At 37.9% G+C, this 22,229-nt stretch overlaps 1 protein-coding gene across 18 annotated transcripts in view; it reads right to left on the bottom strand.

Annotated features, from left to right (window-relative positions):
• The window catches only part of CHL1 (cell adhesion molecule L1 like), a 212,655-nt gene that overhangs the window by 165,016 nt on the left and 25,410 nt on the right, over positions 1-22,229 (bottom strand). The gene's annotated exons all lie outside the window — the stretch shown is intronic.

The following is a 22,229-nucleotide window of genomic DNA, read 5'->3' as shown; positions in this document are numbered from 1 at the left end:
GAGAGGGCAGGCATGCAAAAAGCAGCCACGTAATTACACTTCTCATTGAAAACATTATCGATGTGTCTTCTCTCATGAATTCACGTATTTTGCAACAGACCACAACTGTAAGCATTTCTACATAGCGGTTCTCCTGACCTGTCTGGCACAATAGCTACTTGCATCTGTCTGATGCTGTGACTAATCTTTCAAAATAAAACGATATGGACCAAAACGAGGAGAGCTTCGTCAGGAAGCATTGAAAGATCAGACCTCTGAACTACAGAGTGAACATAAGCCTTCAACTCAAGAGGTCATCTCTCACCATGGTTTGCCAAGCCGCCTATCTCTTAAAACATCAACATGTGAAATGAGGAGACTGATTCAACCAATATATCCAATCCTTTTACTGTTCATTCCCAGGTGTCTCAAGGATTGGCTCCCAATCTCAGAAAGATTGCTTAAGCTTGTTTTTGAATGCCATCCCATGAACATGCTTTTAAAAAACTCTACTTTCTATTAGGCATCAGAACGATTGGAATAAGTCAACATTTTTTTGCATACCAGCTGTCATAACTTAATGACTGAACATCATTCAGAAGAGCTAAATTCCATGTAATAATTCTAACTCATTCTGGTAGAAATTACTAATTAAGGAGATTTATAAAACTACATCTTTGGCCCTAAGAAAAGGAAGGATGGCTGAAAAATTCAAACAGCTCATTTCCACTCTGTGTATTATTTGACAATCTTTTTGGCCTTATTCCAAAAGCTGTTGCCAAGTAGTTAGAAACAGATTGCAATGCCTCCGGAGAGAACCTCACACCAATACACTGAGAAGAATTCCACCCTGGCAAGTATAAGAAAAGTCGTCACTGCTTTCCAGTTGACCAAGTGACACACTGCACAGACTGTGTCCTTAATACTTTTGTTTAGTAACCTCTTTTCAGCCCCACAAGGCCTACTTCTGACCGCATTATTATTACAAGCAGAAATGTTTATGGATGACTAACCATGCATGAAACTGCATTTAATATGGCTTCTGACCAATGGGTCCATGGTACACATTGTTTTAATATAATTGTGTTCACTGACTTCTGCGGGCTGACAGAAGTTTACCTAAGTAGAAGAGTACAGAACCTGGCTCCCATGTTGCTGTGTCCAGCATCCTATGTGTGTTACGACAGTCTCTCAGTGGGGAAAAGAAATAATGCAATGTTTGCATTTGTTGACTCAAAATGAGATTTGCTGACCCTGCTGTTCCATTTGCTGAGGTGAATGTTACATGACTTAATCTAGAATGTTCTTTATCCCAGTGATAAAGAATGTCATGCATTCAGGATCTCCTACAGCCATGGTACCACTTTTATTGTTCTAACATTAGATCTGTCTAAGACATCTCTTCAAAATCCATCATGTCATGAAGCCACCTCAGGTGGCTCTTCCCAATGGGTCCCCACTTCTTACCACTGTCAAGGACATTCATGACAACAGAGATCAGTACTTGTGCTGAATTACCCACCCCACTCTCACTTAGGATTTTCAAGACAGTTGTTTGACATTAGGCATGGAGACTGTAGCTATGATCAAACTTATTTGTATGCTCACAGCAGCAGCCTACGCCCACAGAGCTCTCATCTGCTTCCTTCAGCTTTGGTTCAGAAGGCATTCACATTAATCATGTATGTAAGTTCCTTGCTACTAATCTAATCTCTCTCTCTCTCTGTGTGTGTGTGTGTGTTTGTGTGCATGTGTTCTTAGTGTTTATTGTAAATGAAGAATTATCTCTGTATTATTTTATTTTATTTTATTTTATTTATTTATTTTGAGATGGAGTCCCACTCTGTTACCCAGGCTGGAGTGCAGTGGCACAATCTCGGCTCACTGCAAGCTCTGCCTCCCTGGTTCAAGCCATTCTCCTGCCTCAGCCTCCCAGGTAGCTGGGACTACAGGCGCCCACCACCACGCCGGGATAATTTTTTGTATTTTTAGTAGAGACGGGGTTTCACCGTGTTAGCCAGGATGGTCTCGATCTCCTGACCTCGTGATCTGCCCCCCTCAGCCTCCCAAAGTGCTGGGATTACAGGCGTGAGCCACCGCGCTCAGCCAGTCTCTGTATTATTAGGTTTTCTTTCATTCCTTCATGTTGTAGGTGCATGATCTCTGGAAAGAGATGCACAGACCATCCTTTAGAATGAAACAAGAAATATGGAAATATATACACACACATATATATATACATACACACACATGTACTTATGGTTTTTCATCTCATTTTTAAACATTTCTCTCCTTTTAATCTTTTCTTATGATAAATTTTAGCATACTAGTGTCTCTGTACAATTTAGGATATACATATAGTGGAGGGATAGACTCAAACACTATTAGATAAGGGTATATACACAATACACTACTATAATCTAAGAAAACGTCTTTCTAATTTTGTTTTTGTTATATTAACATGACATACAATCCTTTGAATTTATTTACTCTAGAAAGCATTTACCCTTTCCCTCACCACCATTGACATAGATACTAACGTCTTACTTATTCTCTGTTATTAGTGAAAAGTTGTTTTTTTTTCAAAGTCCCTTAGTTTCTTTTACTTAAGAGATACAAATAAATATACCCACCAAATGTAAAACAAGAATGGAGAGGAATATTAAAAAGAAAATATTAAAAAGAAAGTAATTTAAGGCGAAACAACATTTGGGTCCTTATTGGTTGTGTGCTTTGTAACTAAGATTTAAAAAGTATGACTGAAAGAAAATATAGTATATGCACAAAAAAACTAGTTAAATTAAACTCTACTGACTTGAGGCAAAGTAAAAAAAAAAACCAGAGAGAAGTATACTGGAAGGAGAAACAGCACTTGCTGAAGAGCAAGATACAGTAAAAACTGGGTTATGAGGGTACACTCAGCAAACAACCTACCCATGGCTGGTGTAATATGAGAGCTGCGGATCAGCGGAAGTCAGGGTCACTTGTTTTCTGAATATGAGCATGTTGTGACTCTGAAGTTATCTAATATTTCAAAGTAGTACTTTTCACACAACATACCCTCTACATCAAACCTATGACTTCATTAGATGCTCAGCAAGAGAAATGGTGATTGCTTGCCATGCTGGAAGAAAACTTGGCTTCACAAGACATTTTGAGACATGTCATTTTATGACATGACTCCTTTCTAAGCTATTTATAAGATAAATTTCTCCTTATGCACTGAACTGACAACAAATCATAAGTAATTTGAAACTCCATCTAGACAAAATTAACTAAAGGCCTAACAGCTATAAATATTCCTACTTCCTTTATTCTGTATTTAACATAAGAAATCTTGAGTTCCATAAGGGCATATATTAGTTGTACCAATGTCACTGCCTGGCACCATAATAAAACATAATATATACTCTTTGGATAAGGCCATAATCACCAAAACAGCATGGTACTTGTATAAAACTAGGCACATAGACCAATGGAACAGAATAGAGAACCCAGAAATAAACCCAAATACTTACAGCCAACTGATCTTCTACAAAGCAAACAAAAACATAAAGTGGGGGAAAGAACACCCTATTTAACAAATGATGCTGCGATAATTCGCAAGCCACATGTAGGAGAATGAAACTGGATCCTCATCTCCTACCTTATACAAAAATCAACTCAAGAGGGATCATGGACTTAAATATAAGACCCGATACCTATAAAAATTCTAGAAGATAACGTCAGAAAAACTCTTCTAGACATTGGCTTAGGCAAAGGCTTCAAGACCAAGAATTCAAAAGCAAATGCAACAAAAACAAAGATAAATAGGTGGGACTTAATTAAAGAGCTTCTGCTCAGCAAAATGAACAGTCAGCAGAATAAATAGACAACCCACAGAGTGGGAGAAAATCTTCACAATCTATACATCCAACAAAGGACTGACATCCAGAATCTACAAGGAACTCAAACAAATTAGCAAGAAAAAAACAAAAAATCCCATCATAAAGTGGGCTAAGGACATGAATAGACAATTCTCAAAAGAAGATATACATATGGCCAACAAACATAAGAAAAAAAATGCTCAACATCACTAATGATCAGGGAAATGCAAATCAAAACTACATCTCTGTACCACCTGACTCCTGCAAGAATGGCCATAATGAAAAAAATTTAAAAAATAGTGGATGTTGGTGTGGATGCAATGGAAAGGGAGCACTTCTACACTGCTGGTGAGAATGTCAACTAGCACAACCACTATGGAAAACAGTACGGAGATTCCTTACAGAACTAAAAGTAGCTCTACCATTTGATTCAGCAATCCCACTACTGGGTATCTACCCAGAGGAAAAGAAGTCATTACACAGAAAAGGTACTTGCACATGCATGTTTATAGCAGCACAATTCGCAATCGCAAAAATGTGGAACCAGCCCAAATGTCCATCAATCAACAAGTGGATAAAGAAATTGTGGTAAATATATATGATGGAATACTACTCAGCCATGAAAGGAGGAAATTAACCGCATTCACAGCACCCTGGATGGAGCTGGAGACGATTATTCTAAGTGAAGTAACTGAGGAATGGAAAACCAAAAATCCTATGTTCTCACTCTTAAGTGGGAGCTAAGCTATGAGGATGCAAAGGCATAAGAATGACTTTGGGGACTTGGGGGAAAGGGTGGGAGTGGGGTGAGGGATAAAAGACTACAAATTGGGTTCATTGTATACTGCTTGGGTAATGAGTGCACCAAAATCTCACAAATCAGCATAAAAGAACTTACGCAACCAAATACCACCCGTTTCCCAAAAGCCTATGAAAAAATAATTTTAAAATATATATATTTTATATATATACTGTTTAGATGAATTAAAGAATGAATGCATTAAAGCTACACATATCAATTAATAGTAGTATTCATAGTTCCTTCACCTTACAGTCACAAGTATGAATGTCATAGCTTCATGGAGCAGGAGGGAGCACATTACCACCACAGTGTCTGTCAAAAGAGATGCTGCAGCAGAGAAAAAAGGGACAGACAGACTGAAAACGGAGCAAGTGTGCACTTACTTGTTGTGCGATCGTAAGCTAATCAAGTAGCCTTTTAGAACTCTAGTTGTCTCATTGGTAAATAAGGGATAATAGTATCTGTTTTGCAGAATGGCTTGGAGGAATGGTACTAACATGCAAAAATTGCTTAGCACTAGGCTGAGATCTAGCCGGTGCTCTGTGATAAGCAAGGGGCAGCTGCGGTAGCAGCAGCCACATCACTGTTCTGATTGATGATGTCCAGTGAAGCCGGGAGGGACACTTGAGATCAGTCTCCGGGTTCCCCCTACTTGACAGTCCCCACTCAACTCAGCCATCAGGAGGAAATCACACAGTACCCCACGTGGTAGCATATGAACCTTGACAGCTGCTATATAAGCTACATGTGTGAGCAGCTACATGCCTTATTCTCACAAGACAAAAAAAAAAGATTTTTTGTTTTGTTTTGTTTGTTTGTTGTTTTAGAAGTCTTGCTCTTGTCACCCAGGCTGGAGTGCAATGGCGCGATTTTGGCTCACTGCAACCTCTGCTTCCTGGGTTCAAGCAATTCTCCTGCCTCAGCCTCCTGAGTAGCTGGGATTACAGACACCCGCCACCACATCCAGCTATTTTTTTTTTTTTTGTATTTTTAGTAGAGACGGGGTTTCACCATGTTAGCTAGGCTGGTCTCGAACTCCTGACCTCAGGTGATCCACCCACCTCGGCCTCCCAAAGTGCTGGGATTATAGGCGTGAGCCACTGTACCTGGCCAGAAAAGGGTTTCTTTACAATGTTTTATGCAAGATTTTGAGTTCCTTAAGTCCAGGTCGGGGAAAAATGATCTTATTAATTTTTGCCTTCCTAGTACTCAAGCACAATTGCTGTCAGATTGCCAAATATTGGTTGCTTAATACACATATGTTGACAAAAAATGCCTATTCTACATAGATGTGTATGCATTTGAGATCAAAACTGGCTATTTTTTTTATTTTTTTTCCTTTAAAAAATGTATCTGATCTCAATTGATCTTTAAACACTGGAGGTTTTGAGTGATTTTTTAAATTGCTAGAAAAGGCTGTGAGCACCTCAGCTTTTAGTCAATATTTAGGTCAATATTCTTAAGAAACTGGGATTGAAAATACCTCTTTTTTGGTCATCAGCTAACATTTACCCGAAAGGAATCAGTTCTTGATTCAAATCATGGAGGCCCAGACCCTCAAAATGTGTGCCAAAATACTCAATACAAATTTGAATGACTGTATCTTTTAAAAAGGAAAATGATACATGAGGCACATAATATTCCCTAGGTTATAAGCTACTAGTACTGCAAAAATGAACACACAGACAGAAATTCTTCAATATGTCTAACATAAAATGATGTACAATAAAGTAAGAACTAGAAAAAATACGATACTTTGTTAATGTTGGCTTTTGGGAATTATTTATCAGCAAAACCTTATATAGGCAATGTGAAGATGTTCAACTTTTTCTAAGAATACTTCTGAAAGAGCATTCTAAATAGAAATAGCCCCTATTTCTGATCACGAGTTTTACCATTTCTTTACTAAATCACAGATATTGACTCTCCACTAAACATCATATGTGATTTTTTTCTAATATCAGTTGAAGACAGATTATATGTCAGATGTCATATTTAATAATTTAGTATAATCTCACGTAATACAAGTACCTTTAATGTGGGTACCACTAACTTTAATTTTACATAAGATTAAACGAATTCAATTAAGTTAGGTATGATTTACAAAGTTACAATGACAATAAATGTCAACACCAAGATACGAACCTAATGTGTGTAACCTCAAGGCCTGTGCCTTTATCTACAGTAGACCCTCTTTCTTATTGCATCACTCATCTAAAATACTTTGAGAAAAGGACTCCATACTGATTATACCTCAGTCTTTTACTATTTTTAAGCTATATTCAACTGTCTAAAGGAGGCTGTATTTTAGCCTGTTTTCACAGTGCTACAAAGAACTTCCTGAGACTGGGTAATTTATAAAGAAAAGAGGTTTAATTGACTCACAGTTCTGCATGGCTTGGGAAGCCTCAGGAGACTTACAATCATGGCAGAAGGTGAAGGGGAAGCAAGGGACATCTTGCATGGTGGCAGCAGAGAGACAGAGTGAGTGGGGAACTTCCACACACTTTTAAACCATCAGATCTTGTGAGACCTCACTCACTATCATGAGAACAGCATGGGGGAAACCACCCCCATAATCCAATCACCTCCCACCAGGTCCTTCCCCCAACACATGGGGATTACAATTTGAGATAAGATTTAGGTGAGAACACAGAGCCAAACCATATTAGAAGCCAACAGCGTAATAGAGAGATATCAGCAAAGAACATTCCAAGGCAAGTCAGAGGTCCTAACGAGTTTGATTCCTTGCTATGTCAGTAACACTCCCTATTAATGACGTGTTTCCTAACTAACTGGGGCCTCAGAATCCTTATCCACGACATGAGAATTTCAACTGAATGCTATTTACAAGGTTTTTTTTTTTGCCCTAAAAGTCTATGATTATTTTTTAAAAACTCTCTAATAATGGGACTGAAGGAGGTACAGAGAAAGGCACTACATTATTTAAGAGGCTGGGGCCATGGGATTCACACAGAGGAAGATTAGAAACATTAGAAATCTTTAGTGTGGAAAGATGAATACAAAGAATAGATAGACTGAAATAAAATGTTAAGGGCCACAGAAAATGTCAGTATAATGTTTTCTACAACCTTGGCCTGTTACAACTTGGAAGACAGGAAATCCTCCAGAAATAAATTGAGGGCAAATCGTACACAATAGAATTATATTACTATAATAGATCATATATGTTAAAGAAATAAATAGCTTCCAAAAACGGAGAGACACATTTTTGGCCAGTGCAGGCATAGTTTATTCATAGAAATGAGGATATGCATTTCATTGCTACTGTCCAAGAACATCATGGAGAACCAAGACACATTCTCAAGAACACTTCCCTTCCCTATAGAAGGCTGACCTAGAAGGACCTGGGGCTGATTGATGATATCAGTAACACTCAGACACTTTGGGGTTTTCATCCAGCTCCAGCATGTAGCACAAAACAGGTCATCACTAAATATTTTCTTGAGTGAATGAATAAGCTCTGCCACTTACTAGCTGTGTCACTTTGGGAAAGTTAGTTAACTCCTGTTTTTTTTCTGCAGTCGAATGTGGATATGACAAAGCTCCTGGGAAACCAGCTATAGCCAATTCATCACAGTAGAATATCAAGCAGGCGGAGCAGGGCCTGAGACCAAATGCTGCCACACAAGGTCCAAATCTCTTATCATTCAGACGCTGGTCTTCCCACCATGAATGCTGAGGCAGCCAAACAATCCTTGAGGCCATGTTTCAAGCATGTTGCATAGTCAAACCTGAAAACTCAGATCCCAGCACCAATACCAAATCATGAAACTTAAAAGCCCCACCTCCCAGAAGCCAGAGGCCCTCTTCTGGAGGTGCTAGTCCTCTGTTTCCCACCTTGGAGTATGACGGCAGAGGCATCTCTTGTTTTCTCACTACTGTCAAAGATAGTATACCGAAAGAAATCATGTTTGAAACAGTCTTGAAAGCAATAAGCAAAAATGTCAATGTTGTAAGTTAAGAATAAGTCAAATAGATAATCTTTTAGATCTCAAATAGGACCCAGTTCTGACTTTATATTACTTTCTAATGCAAATAGAGATGGCCTCCCCTGGAAGTAGAAGGCCATTAAAATTTGTGGTAGTAATTCTGCAAACAATTTATAGAGAAGCACTATGTTTTCCTATATAGTCCAAAATGTATCTGATAGTAACCTCAGATACCACCTTGAACTAATGCCTGATCACACCAGTTAATTGTGGGCAAGTTAATACCAATGTCAAGCTTCTTTGGTAATGATAATGGGATACATTTATACAGGGCTAACTACAGGCCAGGCACTCTCTTAAGTGCTTTACATTTTATTAACTCATTTTATCCTTACAACCCATGAGGTAGATACGGTTTTGCTTTTTTTTTAATGTCCTTCATTTAACAATGACCAAACTAAGGCATGAAGAAGTTACATATTGCCTAATGTCACATGACCATTTCTCCAGGATGGAGCTTTATAATTTTGATAACCTTAAATATTGCCATAGGTGTTATCGCAGCATCAGTACACCTTTAAAGCAAACTCTTGTTCTTTATGGCCGCAAGATTAGTGACACAAATATTTTTAATAATGTTTAGAAAGAGGGGGGAGGGATAGCATTGGGAGATATACCTAATGCTAGATGACGAGTTAGTGGGTGAGCGCACCAGCATGGCACATGTATACATATGTAACTAACCTGCACAATGTGCACATGTACCCTAAAACTTAAAGTATAATTACAAATAATAATAATAATAATAGTAATAAAAAAAGAATTATAAATCATTAAGTCACACTGAAATACATGTGAAAACTGCCTGGAAGTCTTTTAGGCTTATTTAGGTGTGAAAAGATGTTAACATCACTATTATGAAGCATTTCTGTCCCAGAGCATTGTACAAAGGGTCTTTGTTTATTCATCCAAGAACATATTACTTGACTATTCTGTGTCTGGCACTGCACTCAAGGCACACCCATGAATGGGGAGCCCTGTGTCCCCAAAATAGGAACTTGTCTAAACATAGCCAATCTCAGGATATTACTCTGTTTCCTGCTTGAGCCATTGCACCTGCTGCTTTGGACTGAGTATTTGCTCAAGTGGCTTTCAACCTCTGACCACCCTCCAAGATCCGTGCCTCACCAGCATGGGGGCTTCAGAGTCCCGTCCTCTCCCAAAGCAAACCAAGAGCTAAACTTTCTGTTTTCCTTTAAATATCACTAATTTTCAGTACTTTAAATATTACTAATTTTCACACTCCCCAGCTATTTTCAGGGCTGTCTTTGTATTTTAGTCTTGATAACTACGTAACGTCTCATGCTGCAGTGAACCTTGGGAGACAATAAATAATTTTCAAGTAGTTTCACCCTTTCACCAGCAGAAACTCGCTTTCTACCCATGAAGTCTGGTTGGAAAGGATTTGTAGGAGACAGCAATTGGTTAAGGTGGATAATTGTGGGAGTTTTGTTTTATTCTAAAAGTAACAAATTCTCACTCTAGATATTTGGTAAAATACAAATATATATGTATACATACATACATATATACATATATATATATATACACACACACACATATACCTAATAAAATGGACATCATCTGTAAAATAATATTTTAGTGTATTTCCTTCCTCAATTGATATATTAATATTCACCCAGTGCTATAGCTACACTCATATACACACATACAGATATGTGTATGAATACATTACATACGTAAAAATGATATGCTATTTATCTCTACATAATATTATGAGCATTTTGACTTCTTTAAATATTCTAACATAGATTTTTATGTTCATTTGGCCAGTATGCCCAGATCTAGAAATCTAACTAAGTTTGGATTAAACATATTAATATATCACCAACTACCAATGGAAAAATCTTTACTGAGTGTAATTTATAACAATAAAATTTGGGTGACAACCTAAGTGCCCAATAATAGAGAAATAATTAAATATGTAGAATATAGTTATGTATTAGAAAAGTTTATAATTTTAAAAAGTTGTGTTTTTAAAGAATATTGAATGCTGAGACTTTGTATAATATTAGGTGAAATAAAGCACTACAAAATTTTTTATAGAATGTGAGCTTAATTTTGCTCTTATGAAAAATACTATGTATCAATGTCTACATGAGAAATAACATTAGAAAGAAAAACATCAACTTGCTACCATTGTTTATGGGAAGAAAGTGGTAAGCAGAAATTGAAGATGACTTAATGTAATAGATATATTTTTAATGATCATGCGTTACATTTTTTTACATCAAAATAAACAAGCTAAGAAATAAAAACAGTATTTTCTCCAAAGCCACATAGTTATTTGGTTAGGTAAGTGACCCAGTTTAGCAAGCTACAAATGAAAGAATGGCATTCCTGTTGGGGTTGGGGGCTGGTATAGAAAAGCAAGAGAGGCAACTCAGAAACCTAAAAGAGCAGGGCACAGTCAAGAAGATACATGAAATTTTGGAGGCTGAAGATGAGGTGTATAAGGGCAAGCAATAGATAATAAAAAGAGACGAGGCTGAAAAGTTGGATCGCACAGAATGTGAAGAGCCCTAGGTGTCATGCTCAGATAATTAAACTTTATCTTGTAAAAGACCATCGTGGATTTGTAGTAAGAAATGACAAGATCAGATTTATGTGTCAGGAAGATAACTCCAGTTTGGTATCTTTGTATCCTCAGATACCTTTAAGGTTTCAAGGATGCTGGATGTCTTGATTCATTATGAGAGAAAGAAAAAAAAAAAAGGAGGAAAGAAAGGACCAGATTGATTTTGCCAGTAATGGTTTGAGTCCAGCTCTAAACTTAGAGAACAAATTTTAAGTGCTCCCTGGTTTCTTTTATAAAAAGGTCTTTGAGTAGAAAAGGAAGTGGAGTAACAGAGAAAATTCTAGACTAAAATGTAAAGTTAAATGAACAGAACAGCACCATCTCAGGCACTTACTAGCAAGCCATTTAGCCAACCTCTCTGAAGGTCTCTTTCTTCATTTTTTTTTTAACTGGAGCTAACAACCTCTGATTCATTTCACTCACAGGGTGGCAATGAGAATATATAAATGGCAAACTGTAACACAGAAAATATCTAACCTAATGATAATTATTATTTTATAGCTACTCATGAGCAAATAGAAACTTCGATCTGTAAAAAATATCTAAGTACGAACATCTAACTTGTAAAACTGTGAAAATAAATAGCTAATCAGCAGAGCATAAATAAGTGACTCTAATGACTCTTTAAAAAACCTAAAACTGTTACAAAGGGGCATAGTAAAACGTTCAAAAAATAAAGTAGGCTATAGTTATTGACAGGATCTAAATGTTACCTTAATTATTAAACTTCTAATTTACTATAATAATATGCTAATTATTGTAAAGTGCAAGGTAGAAAAGGTACAAATTCAATGACAATTCCCAAAATATTGTTAATGAAAATGAAATAAAAATAACTTAGTACAAAGAGCTCCAGGGACAGTGCACAAACACACCGATATACAAAAACAGTTGTGTCACTCAAAAGACCAAATTAATAATGTGTAATGACATGCCAATACACAGAATGAGATCATGATTCTCCGGTGCCTCCTCACAGTGAGGTCAGTAATGGTAGACACCAAAACCTTCTCAGTTAAGGAGATGAATATACGAATTCCAAGCATAACGTCTCGTCAGCCATCAGTTGTTGCCATGACTTGTCTTCCTGCCAAATACTGATAAGTACAGAAATCAAATATAAGGAAATCCAGAGATTTTTTAACATGAGGAGAGTCAAAATGTTGGAAACCATTCATTAAAATAAAATTTATATTGGGCTAGGTAAGCTGAAAGTATAGTTGAGTGTCACACCAAACACATTCAGAGATTAAGAAATAAGGTCTAGGCTGGGTGTGGTAGTTCATGCCTGTAATCCCAGCACTTTGAGAGGCCAAGGAGGGTGGATCACCAGAGGTCAGGAGTTTGAGACCAGCCTAGCCAACATGGTGAAACCCCGTCTCTACTAAAAATACAAAAATTAGCCAGGCATGGTGGCAGGCACCTGTAATCCCAGCTACTCAGGAGGCTGAGGCAGGAGAATTGCTTGAACCAGGAGGCAGAAGTTGCAATAAACCAGGATTGTGCCACTGCACTCCAGCCTGGGTGACAGAATGAGACTCCATCTCAAAAAAAAAAAAAAAAAAAAGGAAGAAATAAGGTTTTAAAACATGTACTCCCAACTGAAAATTTCAATGAATATAAACTTCTTTTTTTATTAAAACCAACACTTAGCAGAAAATATAGTTAATCCAGTCTTACTTTGCAAACTTTGAAACTTAGTTCAACTATGGGCTAAGCCTGCTTCAGTTCTCTAGGAAATTGTACATATGCAATTATCTACTCTGTTCAAGGGGAAGAGAGAAAAGTGGCAGTGGTAATGATGAGGGTGGTGGTGTTAACGTAAAAAAGAGAGGAGAGGAAGGAGGAAGGAAAAAAATCTGCCTTAATTATGGGAAATCACCAAGGTAATTATTTTTATTTTTTATAAGTATTGTGGAAAAGTGTTCATATCTCCAGTATGCATTGTCTTTCTCCTCCCAGGGAATTTGAAAGGTAGATATTTTACTGCACAAAATTCCTGTTAGACAAAACCGATAGTAAATATAAAGTAACATATAAAATTCACCCTTCTGGTACTTAATACTAAAATAGTAGGACTCCCACTTAATGTGAAAGGAAAATTGGTTGAGATTATCAGGTTAAGGGTTCTTAACCCCATTAGGATCACAAACACATGTGAGCATCTGGGGAAAGCTAAGGATTCTTTCTCCATAAATATGCACGTGCCTTCATGAGCACAATCTATCAAACACAATAACAACAGTCTCAAAAATCATCTCTGATCTGGGCCATTCAAACTACTCAGACAAAGTGGAACTGAAAAAAGAGATTGTTCAGCCTTAATTTAGAGAAATAAAATCTAGTGTAATTGCTTAGTAGAGTTTTATTGCAATCTGCCTATAAGAATATAAGAGTCTACATTTTACCACAATACAAAAATGATTTTTAAATTAAACCCTTGAAACAACTATTCATGTTCATTTTACTAGGTTTATTTATAAATGATGAAAAATAAAATTAATTTACAGACTAAATTACTTCCTTAGTGTCATACATAACAAGTGACAAAGGTCAAGTGTGGCACCCAAGTATTGTGATTCTAATTCTAGTCCTTCTGTAACAATATTGTAACCCAATCACTCTGTCAAAAAAAAAAAAGGTTTATACTTTCTGAAGGTAGATGTTTAAAAAAGGCACAAAACACAAAACAAAGTCAGTCTTTCACTAGAAAGAAAATCATATTTTTTTCAAGTCATCAGCTGGTGGTTTGTTATGAATGTGTGAACAGGCTGTGGATGCAGAGCCTGCCTACTTGGGATTTTGTCAGTGTTAAGCCTTTGCTTTCATCTATTCCTGTTTAATGTGAATGACACAAAAGCCAGAAAGAGTCACCACTTCCTTCATCTCTTCACATAATCCAGGCATCATATAGGAGCTTAAAAGACATGTTTTCTTCTCTTCATTATGTACTGAATGCTCAGAATTTATTATACAAGAGATCCTTTGATCCTTCAGAAACAAGCCCTTTTTGAAGCTCTGGTAACAGAGTGTTTTAAAGAGTTCTTCCAGTGGGGGCCAGTTTGTCACTCAGGACACATTTTAAGTACCCACTTTGTACAGAACCTTATTGGGCCTTTATAATACTATAGAAACTCACGGGGATAAGGAGAGAAGATCCACCCTAAACAAAACGAAGCAACAGCTGCACAGACAAGGAGATGTGACTCTTCCCCTTTGAGAGACCATGTGCTCCGGAGGGAGAGAAATTTTATCTCGTGAAGGCTGAGATGAGGGAAGAGGTGGTGGGGCACAGACAGATAATTGATTTTCAAGTTCAAGGCAAAAAGAATTTAAAGATTAAGTTCTAAACTGTGCACAGTCAACATTTTGTTTTGTTTTGTTTTTTCAAAACCATGTAAAAGAATATCAAGTCCAGCTATAAAGATTCCACTGAAACCTCAATAGGCATTTCATAATCCCACCAAGAGTCGATAAAATGTAGTAGCTGAGTATTGAACTAAGCTATTATGTGGAAAATTCAAACAAAAGTTTCCTTCCTCTAATTCTTCCGAATACACAAGTATTTCTGGAAAATACTAAGCTACGTATTGTGGAAAATGGACTGAGTTCTGCTTAGCCAACACTTCTTTGAACATTCGCATTCTTTTGGTTTGAGGAATGTAGTATTGTCAGGTTGTTGCCTGCACTGATTATTCACTTCGCATACCTGGAGTGGCTGCAACTGAATTTGTGTCTGTATTTTAGCAAAAGATTTGTGGCAACTTATCAACGGGGGCATGGGGAAACTGGCTGGTCAGAGAACCTTCTGTGAATGCCATTTTCTCCTGCCATTTTTTACACATCAGTGCTCAAAATTAATGAAGTTACCGAAGGACATAACAATTAGGAAAAAAACATTATGAAGGATTTTTAATAAATCATATTGGGCATAAAACATGCTAGCAGAAATTATAATTAATAAGAAGTGAAATGTAACACCACCTTAAAATAGAAAGCAGAGTCCCCTTGGAAACAACACATGGGGCTAATGCAAAAATCAGTGTTCACTGTGCTGGTTGCTTGCAAAATTACACAATTAATCCTGTGTAAACTAACCTATCAGCAATGCACACCGCAGGGCTGCTGATAACTATTAGGCTGCACAATGTATTAAAGAAAGAGAACCTTAATGAGATCCCATGAGAATCTAAAGATTTAAATCAGTTTTTTTTTCCTTCTGTAAAAGATCATTTTTTACTCCACTTAGTGGACAATACTTTTTACATCTGATACACATATGGTCAAATCCACCATTAAATCAACCATTAGGAACCAGAAGACATTCTATTTTGAGTTTAAAATATGCCATTGAGCTGATTTCAAAGTAGAGGATTTAGAAATCTACATAAGATGCCACCTTACTTATCTCCCTCATGGAGTTGATAGAAATCCGTTGCTATCCCATATTACTGGCCTCTCACAGGGGTTAATGAGCCATTATAAAATTGCTGCGATAACACACTCTATACCATGTGAAGATGTGTGGTCTCATGAGCATTCAATTTATGTTAGTTCTAGTCTGCATTATTCCACAGAAGAAAATAAATAGAGATGGAAAGTAACCTAAGTGTAGTCATTTGAGAAATATTTCCCCTGCTGTGTGTGTGTGTGTGTGTGTGTGTACACATATTTACACTGAGTGTATGCAAACATGACTTCATCCATGTGCAGGGATCCCCTTGAACACTTAATATCTACATAAAAAGTTGTGCAAAGTTTAAGAAGGAAATAGTACAAATATTTTTCTGGTGGTTGGGGTAAGCCTTTAAGGTGTCGTTGGTGACGTTTTTCTACCTCTTAGACTAAATGTAATCCTGTCGAAAAGCACATCACCTGGGTAAAAGATAAAAGATTCTTCAAACATTCCCCTGTGTTTTCATTGCACACTTAATTGAATTAAAATTGTCCTTAAAAAACATATTGTTTTTAAGACTATACATTCCAATAACATTAACTTTGGTTTTAACTTCTGAGTCCTGGTTCTTTCACTCCAGCTATGGTCTTGTTGTAGATCAATTCCATTAGGCAGTGTTTGCCTCTATCGAAAAGCTGTATGCCAAAATAAATGAGTAGATGAATGGGTGATGGATAGATCGATAGTCAGACAGACAGACACAGAGATACACAAATAGATGGATAGATAGATGTGGGTGTTAACTGCAAGAAGCACAAGGAAAAAGACGAGTGCTGTTATCATCTCATAGTCTCCCTTGACAGGCATTTCTGGGCTTCCTTCACTTTGGCTCCACTCCTGGAAACACACAGCACAATACTGTAACAAAATCACTAACAGAAGTGCAAGCAATGAGTGCAGGTATCTCAAGGAGTAGAAAGATGTGAAGAAGTAGGAAGAGGCATCAAGAAGGAACTCCATAAGGAGAAAGAACGTAGAGTACAAAGAACGATTTGCCTGAAAAGCTGAGAGCTACTGGTAATAAAGAAAGCTGACATTTCATCTCTGATATGTCAGCATTAAATCTGTAGCATCTGTCCGTCCACACATGCTATTGTCTCCAGAATTCAGACTATTTTTAATCACTTTTGATTTCTATGCATGCCTTTTGTATTTGTTCTCCACATGCATATCACCTATTGTCTTTGAAAATGATATGAGCCTGATAGTCCTCATTTTCATGTAACAGTCATTGAGGATGTTTGAGAAAAGACGAGGTTTTCTGTTCATATGTTTGTCTTCCCTCTTTTGCTCAGAGTCACAATGCTCTCCAGTACTAGGAACTGGCATCACTGGAGCTTGCACACAGGTGTATTTGTATTCTAGACCCCAACTTTGGATTTCCTTCACTAGAATAAGATATCATTTTTTGTTCCTTGTGTTTCTTTTTTATATAGCTTGTCTATAAAATAGTTCAACAGAAAACAGGAAAGGAATATTTTAAAAACTACTCTCTGCTTGGGTTTAATAGATGGACATTCATGGGTGGTAGTTACTAGAGTAAAAGTAAGATGTGCATGGGATGGAAAGAAGAGGTGGACAACATTTACGCTTCTTAAACCTGTTGAAATCAACAACTGCTACTTTTTTATCAAGCATAAACATTCATTTTACCTATGAAGACTCCTGGTGAAATTATTTACCTGAAGTAATAGGCATAAATTAATCTGCCATGCATTTCAGCTTTTAGCAAAAACTTTCCATTTTCAACAAGAAAATATTTTGACAAGGAATAATATGCCCTTCTTATTCTGTTTTGAAAACTCTCCTATATGAAGTCTACTTAGAAAAGGATCCTTGTTTATCAAATTGTCTGCTAAGCATTGAGAAGAAAGGCAACATTTTGGAGAATGATTAAAAGATTAAAAGATTGGAGAAAAATAAAAAATATAGGTACTACAGGTCGGGCGCGGTGGCTTACGCCTGTAATCTCAGCACTTTGGGAGGTCAAGGCAGGTGGATCTGCTGAGGTCAGGAGTTCAAGAACAGTCTGGCCAACATGGTGAAACCCTGTCTCTACTAAAAATACAAGAATTAGCTGGGCGTGGTGTGCGCTTGTAATCCCAGCCACTCGGGAGGCTGAAGCAGGAGAATCGATTGAATCCGGGAGTTGGAGGTTGCGGTGATGCAGTGACCCCAGATCACGCCATTGCACCCCAGCCTGGGCGACAGAGCAAAACTCCGTCTCAGAAAAAATAATAATAATAATAAAATTAAAAAATATATATGTGTGTATAATTATATATTATATAATATATAAGTATATATATATAAAATATTCTATTATATAATATATAATAGAATACAGAATTTTCAGCCTGGCATGGTGGCTCATGCCTGTAATCCTACTTTGGGATCCGCACTTTGGGAGGCCGAAGCAGGCGGATCACATGACACCAGGAGCTCAACATTAGCGTGGCCAACATGGTAAAACCCCGTCTCTACTAAAAATATAAAAAATTAGCTGGGCATAGTGGTGCATGCCTGTAGTCCCAGCTACTCAGGAGGCTGAGGCACGAGAATCACTTGAACCTGACGGTGGAGGTTGCAGTGAGCTGAGATCGTGCCTCCGCACTCTCTCCTGGGCGACGGAACGAGACTCTCTCAAAAAAAGTTAAGATTAACGTGTCTCTTTTTTTTAGACAGAGTCTCATTCTGTCTCCCGGGCTGAAGTGCACTGGTGCTATCTCGGCTCACTGCAAGCTCCGCCTCCCAGGTTCAAGTGATTCTCCTGCCTCAGCCCCCCGAGTAGCTGGGACTACAGGTGCCTGCCACCACACCTGGCTAATTTTTTGAATTTTTAGTAGAGACGGGTTTTCACAGAGTTAGCCAGGATGGCCTCAATCTCCTGACCTCGTGATCTGCCCACCTCAGCCTCCCAAAGTGCTGGGATTACAGGCGTGAGCCACCACGCTTGGCCATAACCTATTCTTAACTGTTCCTCGCTTGATTTTACATATCTAGAAGAGTACAATTATTGTTTAGTTCCTGGACAGTGGTGGTTTTGTGTGTGTGTGTGACTATAAGTGTGTGTATACGTCTGTGTAATTGAACTGTGTTTGAGCCAGCTTTCACTTTTGCTTCAAGAGTTGTCTCATAAAGAAATATAAAGATGTGTTTTAACAATTAATTCTTAATTCTCACATACTATTCTCGTGCTTGAGGAAAGTAAACATTAACCCAAGTCCTACCTTATTGGATGTCTCTCTAATTTGTATGCATTTTCAAACTTCAAAATGTTTAAATATGCTATATAACTCTAAGGATCAAATAAAGGACAGTTTGTGCAACATTCAACACTTATTGTTTGTCTATTAATCATCTACATACTGAGGTAGACTGTACACTCTCTGAGGGTGGAGATCATTCTGAGTTGCTCATAATTATTTCTAAACATAACAGAAAACGTGTTACATACTCAGTGGGCAATAATTATATGTTGAATGAATAAAAGATTCATTAACATAATCTTCTAGTCTGTAAGTACCTAACACAATCTTTTTGAGTTCTTTTTGAGATAGAGTCTCACTCTGTCACTCAGGCTGGAGTGCAGTGGCGAGATCTTGGCTTACTGCAGCCTCTGCCTCCTGAGTTCAAGTGTTCTCCCGCCCGGCCTCCTGAGTAGCTGGGATTACAGGCGTGAGCCACCACACCTGGCTAATTTTTCTGTTTTTAGTAGAGATGGGGTGTCACCATGTTGGCCAGGCTGGTCTTGAACTCTCGACCTTAGGTGATCTGCACGCCTCAGCCTCCTGAGTAGCTGGGATTACAGGCGTGAGCCACTGCACCCGGCTCTGAGTTGTTTAATTGATATTTTCCACTTTTCTATCCTAGCAAACCCTCAATTTGATGTAGCCAACAGGGAAGCTACGTTTGCAAAATTATGACAATAAATGTATTAGGCCATTCTTGCATTGCTATAAAGAAATACCTGAGACCGGGTAATTTGTAAAGAAAAGAGTTTTCACTGGCTCATGCTTCTTCAAGCTGTACAAGCATGGCACTGGCATCTGCTTGGCTTCTGGGTGAGCATTAGGGAGTTTTTACTCGTGGTAGAAGGCAAAGTTGGAGCAGGCACACCATATGGTGGAAGGAGAAGCTAGAGAGAGACTTAGTTGGGGAGGAGCCACCTACTTTTAAACAACCAGATCTCATGAGTACTCACTCTATATCACGAGGACAGCACCAGGCCATACGGGATCTGTTCCCATGACCCAAACACCTCTCCTACCAGGCCTAATCTCGAACACTGGGGATTACATTTCAACATTAGATTTGGCGGAGATATATATTCAAACTATATCAAAGAGAAATCTGACATAGCTGACTCCATCTTGCTTCTCAACTCCAAGCTGTCCTTGGTCATTCCTCGACATAGGCCAAGCTATCTTTGGGAGAAATTTAGTTTATAGTTTAACTTTAAAACAAGGATAAAAATAGCCCTTCCCCAAACTACTCCCTCCTTGTTCAGGGACCAAAACCACCTTTGTAAAAGTAATAAAAGGCCACAAGACTAGGATTATGGGAGGGGCCTGAACTCTATTAGGATGTAGGTACAGTTAAACAATAACCAGCCATTGTGCCAGAGGTTACAAGATTTGTAACCTTCCCAATTGCTCCTATAGGTAACATCATTATTGTGAAAACCTAAGATTAGTCTTTGAGGTATTTTTCAGACTCTTGCATTTGGGCAGGCCAGCTGACTCCACCAGGATCTGTGACTCATACCAAGGAACTAATTCAACCAGTCCTGGAGCTCCCACCCAAGAAGTGACTTCATGTAAGAAGACAGCTTTGACCCCTATGATTTCATCCCTGCCCCAACCTATCAGCATTTCCCATTCCCTAGCCCCCTGCCTACCAAACTATCCTGGAAAAACCTTAGCCTCTGAGCTTTCAGAGATGCTGATCTGAGTAATAATAAATCCAGTCCTTCTGCTTCACTGGGCCTGCAATTATTAAACTCTTTCTCTACTGTAATACCGCTGTCTCAGTGAATTTGCCCTATCCATGCAGTGGGCAAGAAGAACCTGTTGGACAATTATAATACAATTTTTGATAGTTCACATGGATCTAATATTAACAACTGCAGTAAATACATAGCAAGTCTATATGCCAAAATAATAATTTATTTAATAATTGCAACAACCTTCTGAGATAGGTCTTATTCTTTATTCCTTACACAGTTGCAGTTCTGACAACGTGCCAAAACTGACCACATTCTGAATAGTAAATTACTCCAAGAATAAAAGATGGTATAGTCCTCACACAAAAGTCATCTTACCTCCATAAGATAATATTTAGAGGATGTTTATCTTCTAATATTAACTTCATAGTGCAAATTTGTATTCCTATAACACTTCACTTAAGTATCATTGTTTTATATCAGATAGGGATAGTGATGGGTGATGACACTTCACCCGAATGTCACTTAATTTTATGGATATATCAACCAGAAAAGAGTTTAAAGGGTGGAGCAACTGATTAAAATAATAACCCCAAAGATGTTCGTGTCCTAGTTGCTAGGACCTGAGAATATTACCTTACATTGGAAATAGGACTTTGCAAATGTAAGGTGATTCAGGATTTTGAGAGGGAGATATTGTCCTGGATTATGTGGGTGGGCCAATGTATAACAAGTGTCTTTACACAAGAGAAGCTGGAGGGTCAGAATCTGAAAAGATGTTTTGAGGACAGAGCCCAGAAAGAAAGGAAAATTGGAAGATGCTATACTGCTGGCTATAAAAATGAAGGATGGCACTAAAAAAACACAGAGAATTTCACCCCAAAATATGATTCCCTGGAAGTAATGAATACTTTGAATTAAAATCCCTTAGAAATCAATATGCGTTAGAAGAGACTTTTCCCCATCTTCATAAAAATAGGATGGATCCACCAAAAAAAAAATTGTTTTTCCTTCCCTTCCCTGTTATCTCATTATCTATTTCAAGACAGGAGTGAAAGAATGTATTCAGAACTGGCACAGCCTTTCTACAAAATAGTGCCTGTCTCTGAAGTTCATTCAACTTCCAAATCATTTACAAGTCCATCTATTCGTTTTCCCAAGGATCCATTTACTTTTCCCTAGTAATCATGTAATGTCCGTCAAAGGAATTACCTATATTTCCCATCTACCCCCGCTCTTCTGAAAGGAGGTTATATAAGTGTTTGGGTTTGATTGGGTAATTAGGTAATCACTCTGTGATTCTCCACATGCATATGGGTAAATAAATTTTATGCTTTCTTCTTATTAACATGCCTTATTGTGGCTTCATTTTTCAGCAAACCATCCAAGGGCAAGAGGGCAGCTTCCCCTGAGCTCCAACAGGACCGTGAGCTAGAGTGCAAGTGGCCTCTAGAAGCTAAAAAAAAGGCAAGTAAACAGATTCTCCCCTAGAGCTTCTAGAAAGGTACAGCCCTGCTGCCACCTTGATTTTAGGACTTCTAAACTTCAGATCTCTAACAGAAAAAGGTA

The sequence above is a fragment of the Homo sapiens genome, chromosome 3 (genome assembly GCF_000001405.40).
Source record: "Homo sapiens chromosome 3, GRCh38.p14 Primary Assembly".
NCBI classification, from domain to species: Eukaryota; Metazoa; Chordata; class Mammalia; order Primates; family Hominidae; genus Homo; species Homo sapiens.
The sequence above is the reverse complement of the archived record's forward strand: the minus strand, read 5'-3'. Positions and strand labels throughout refer to the sequence as shown.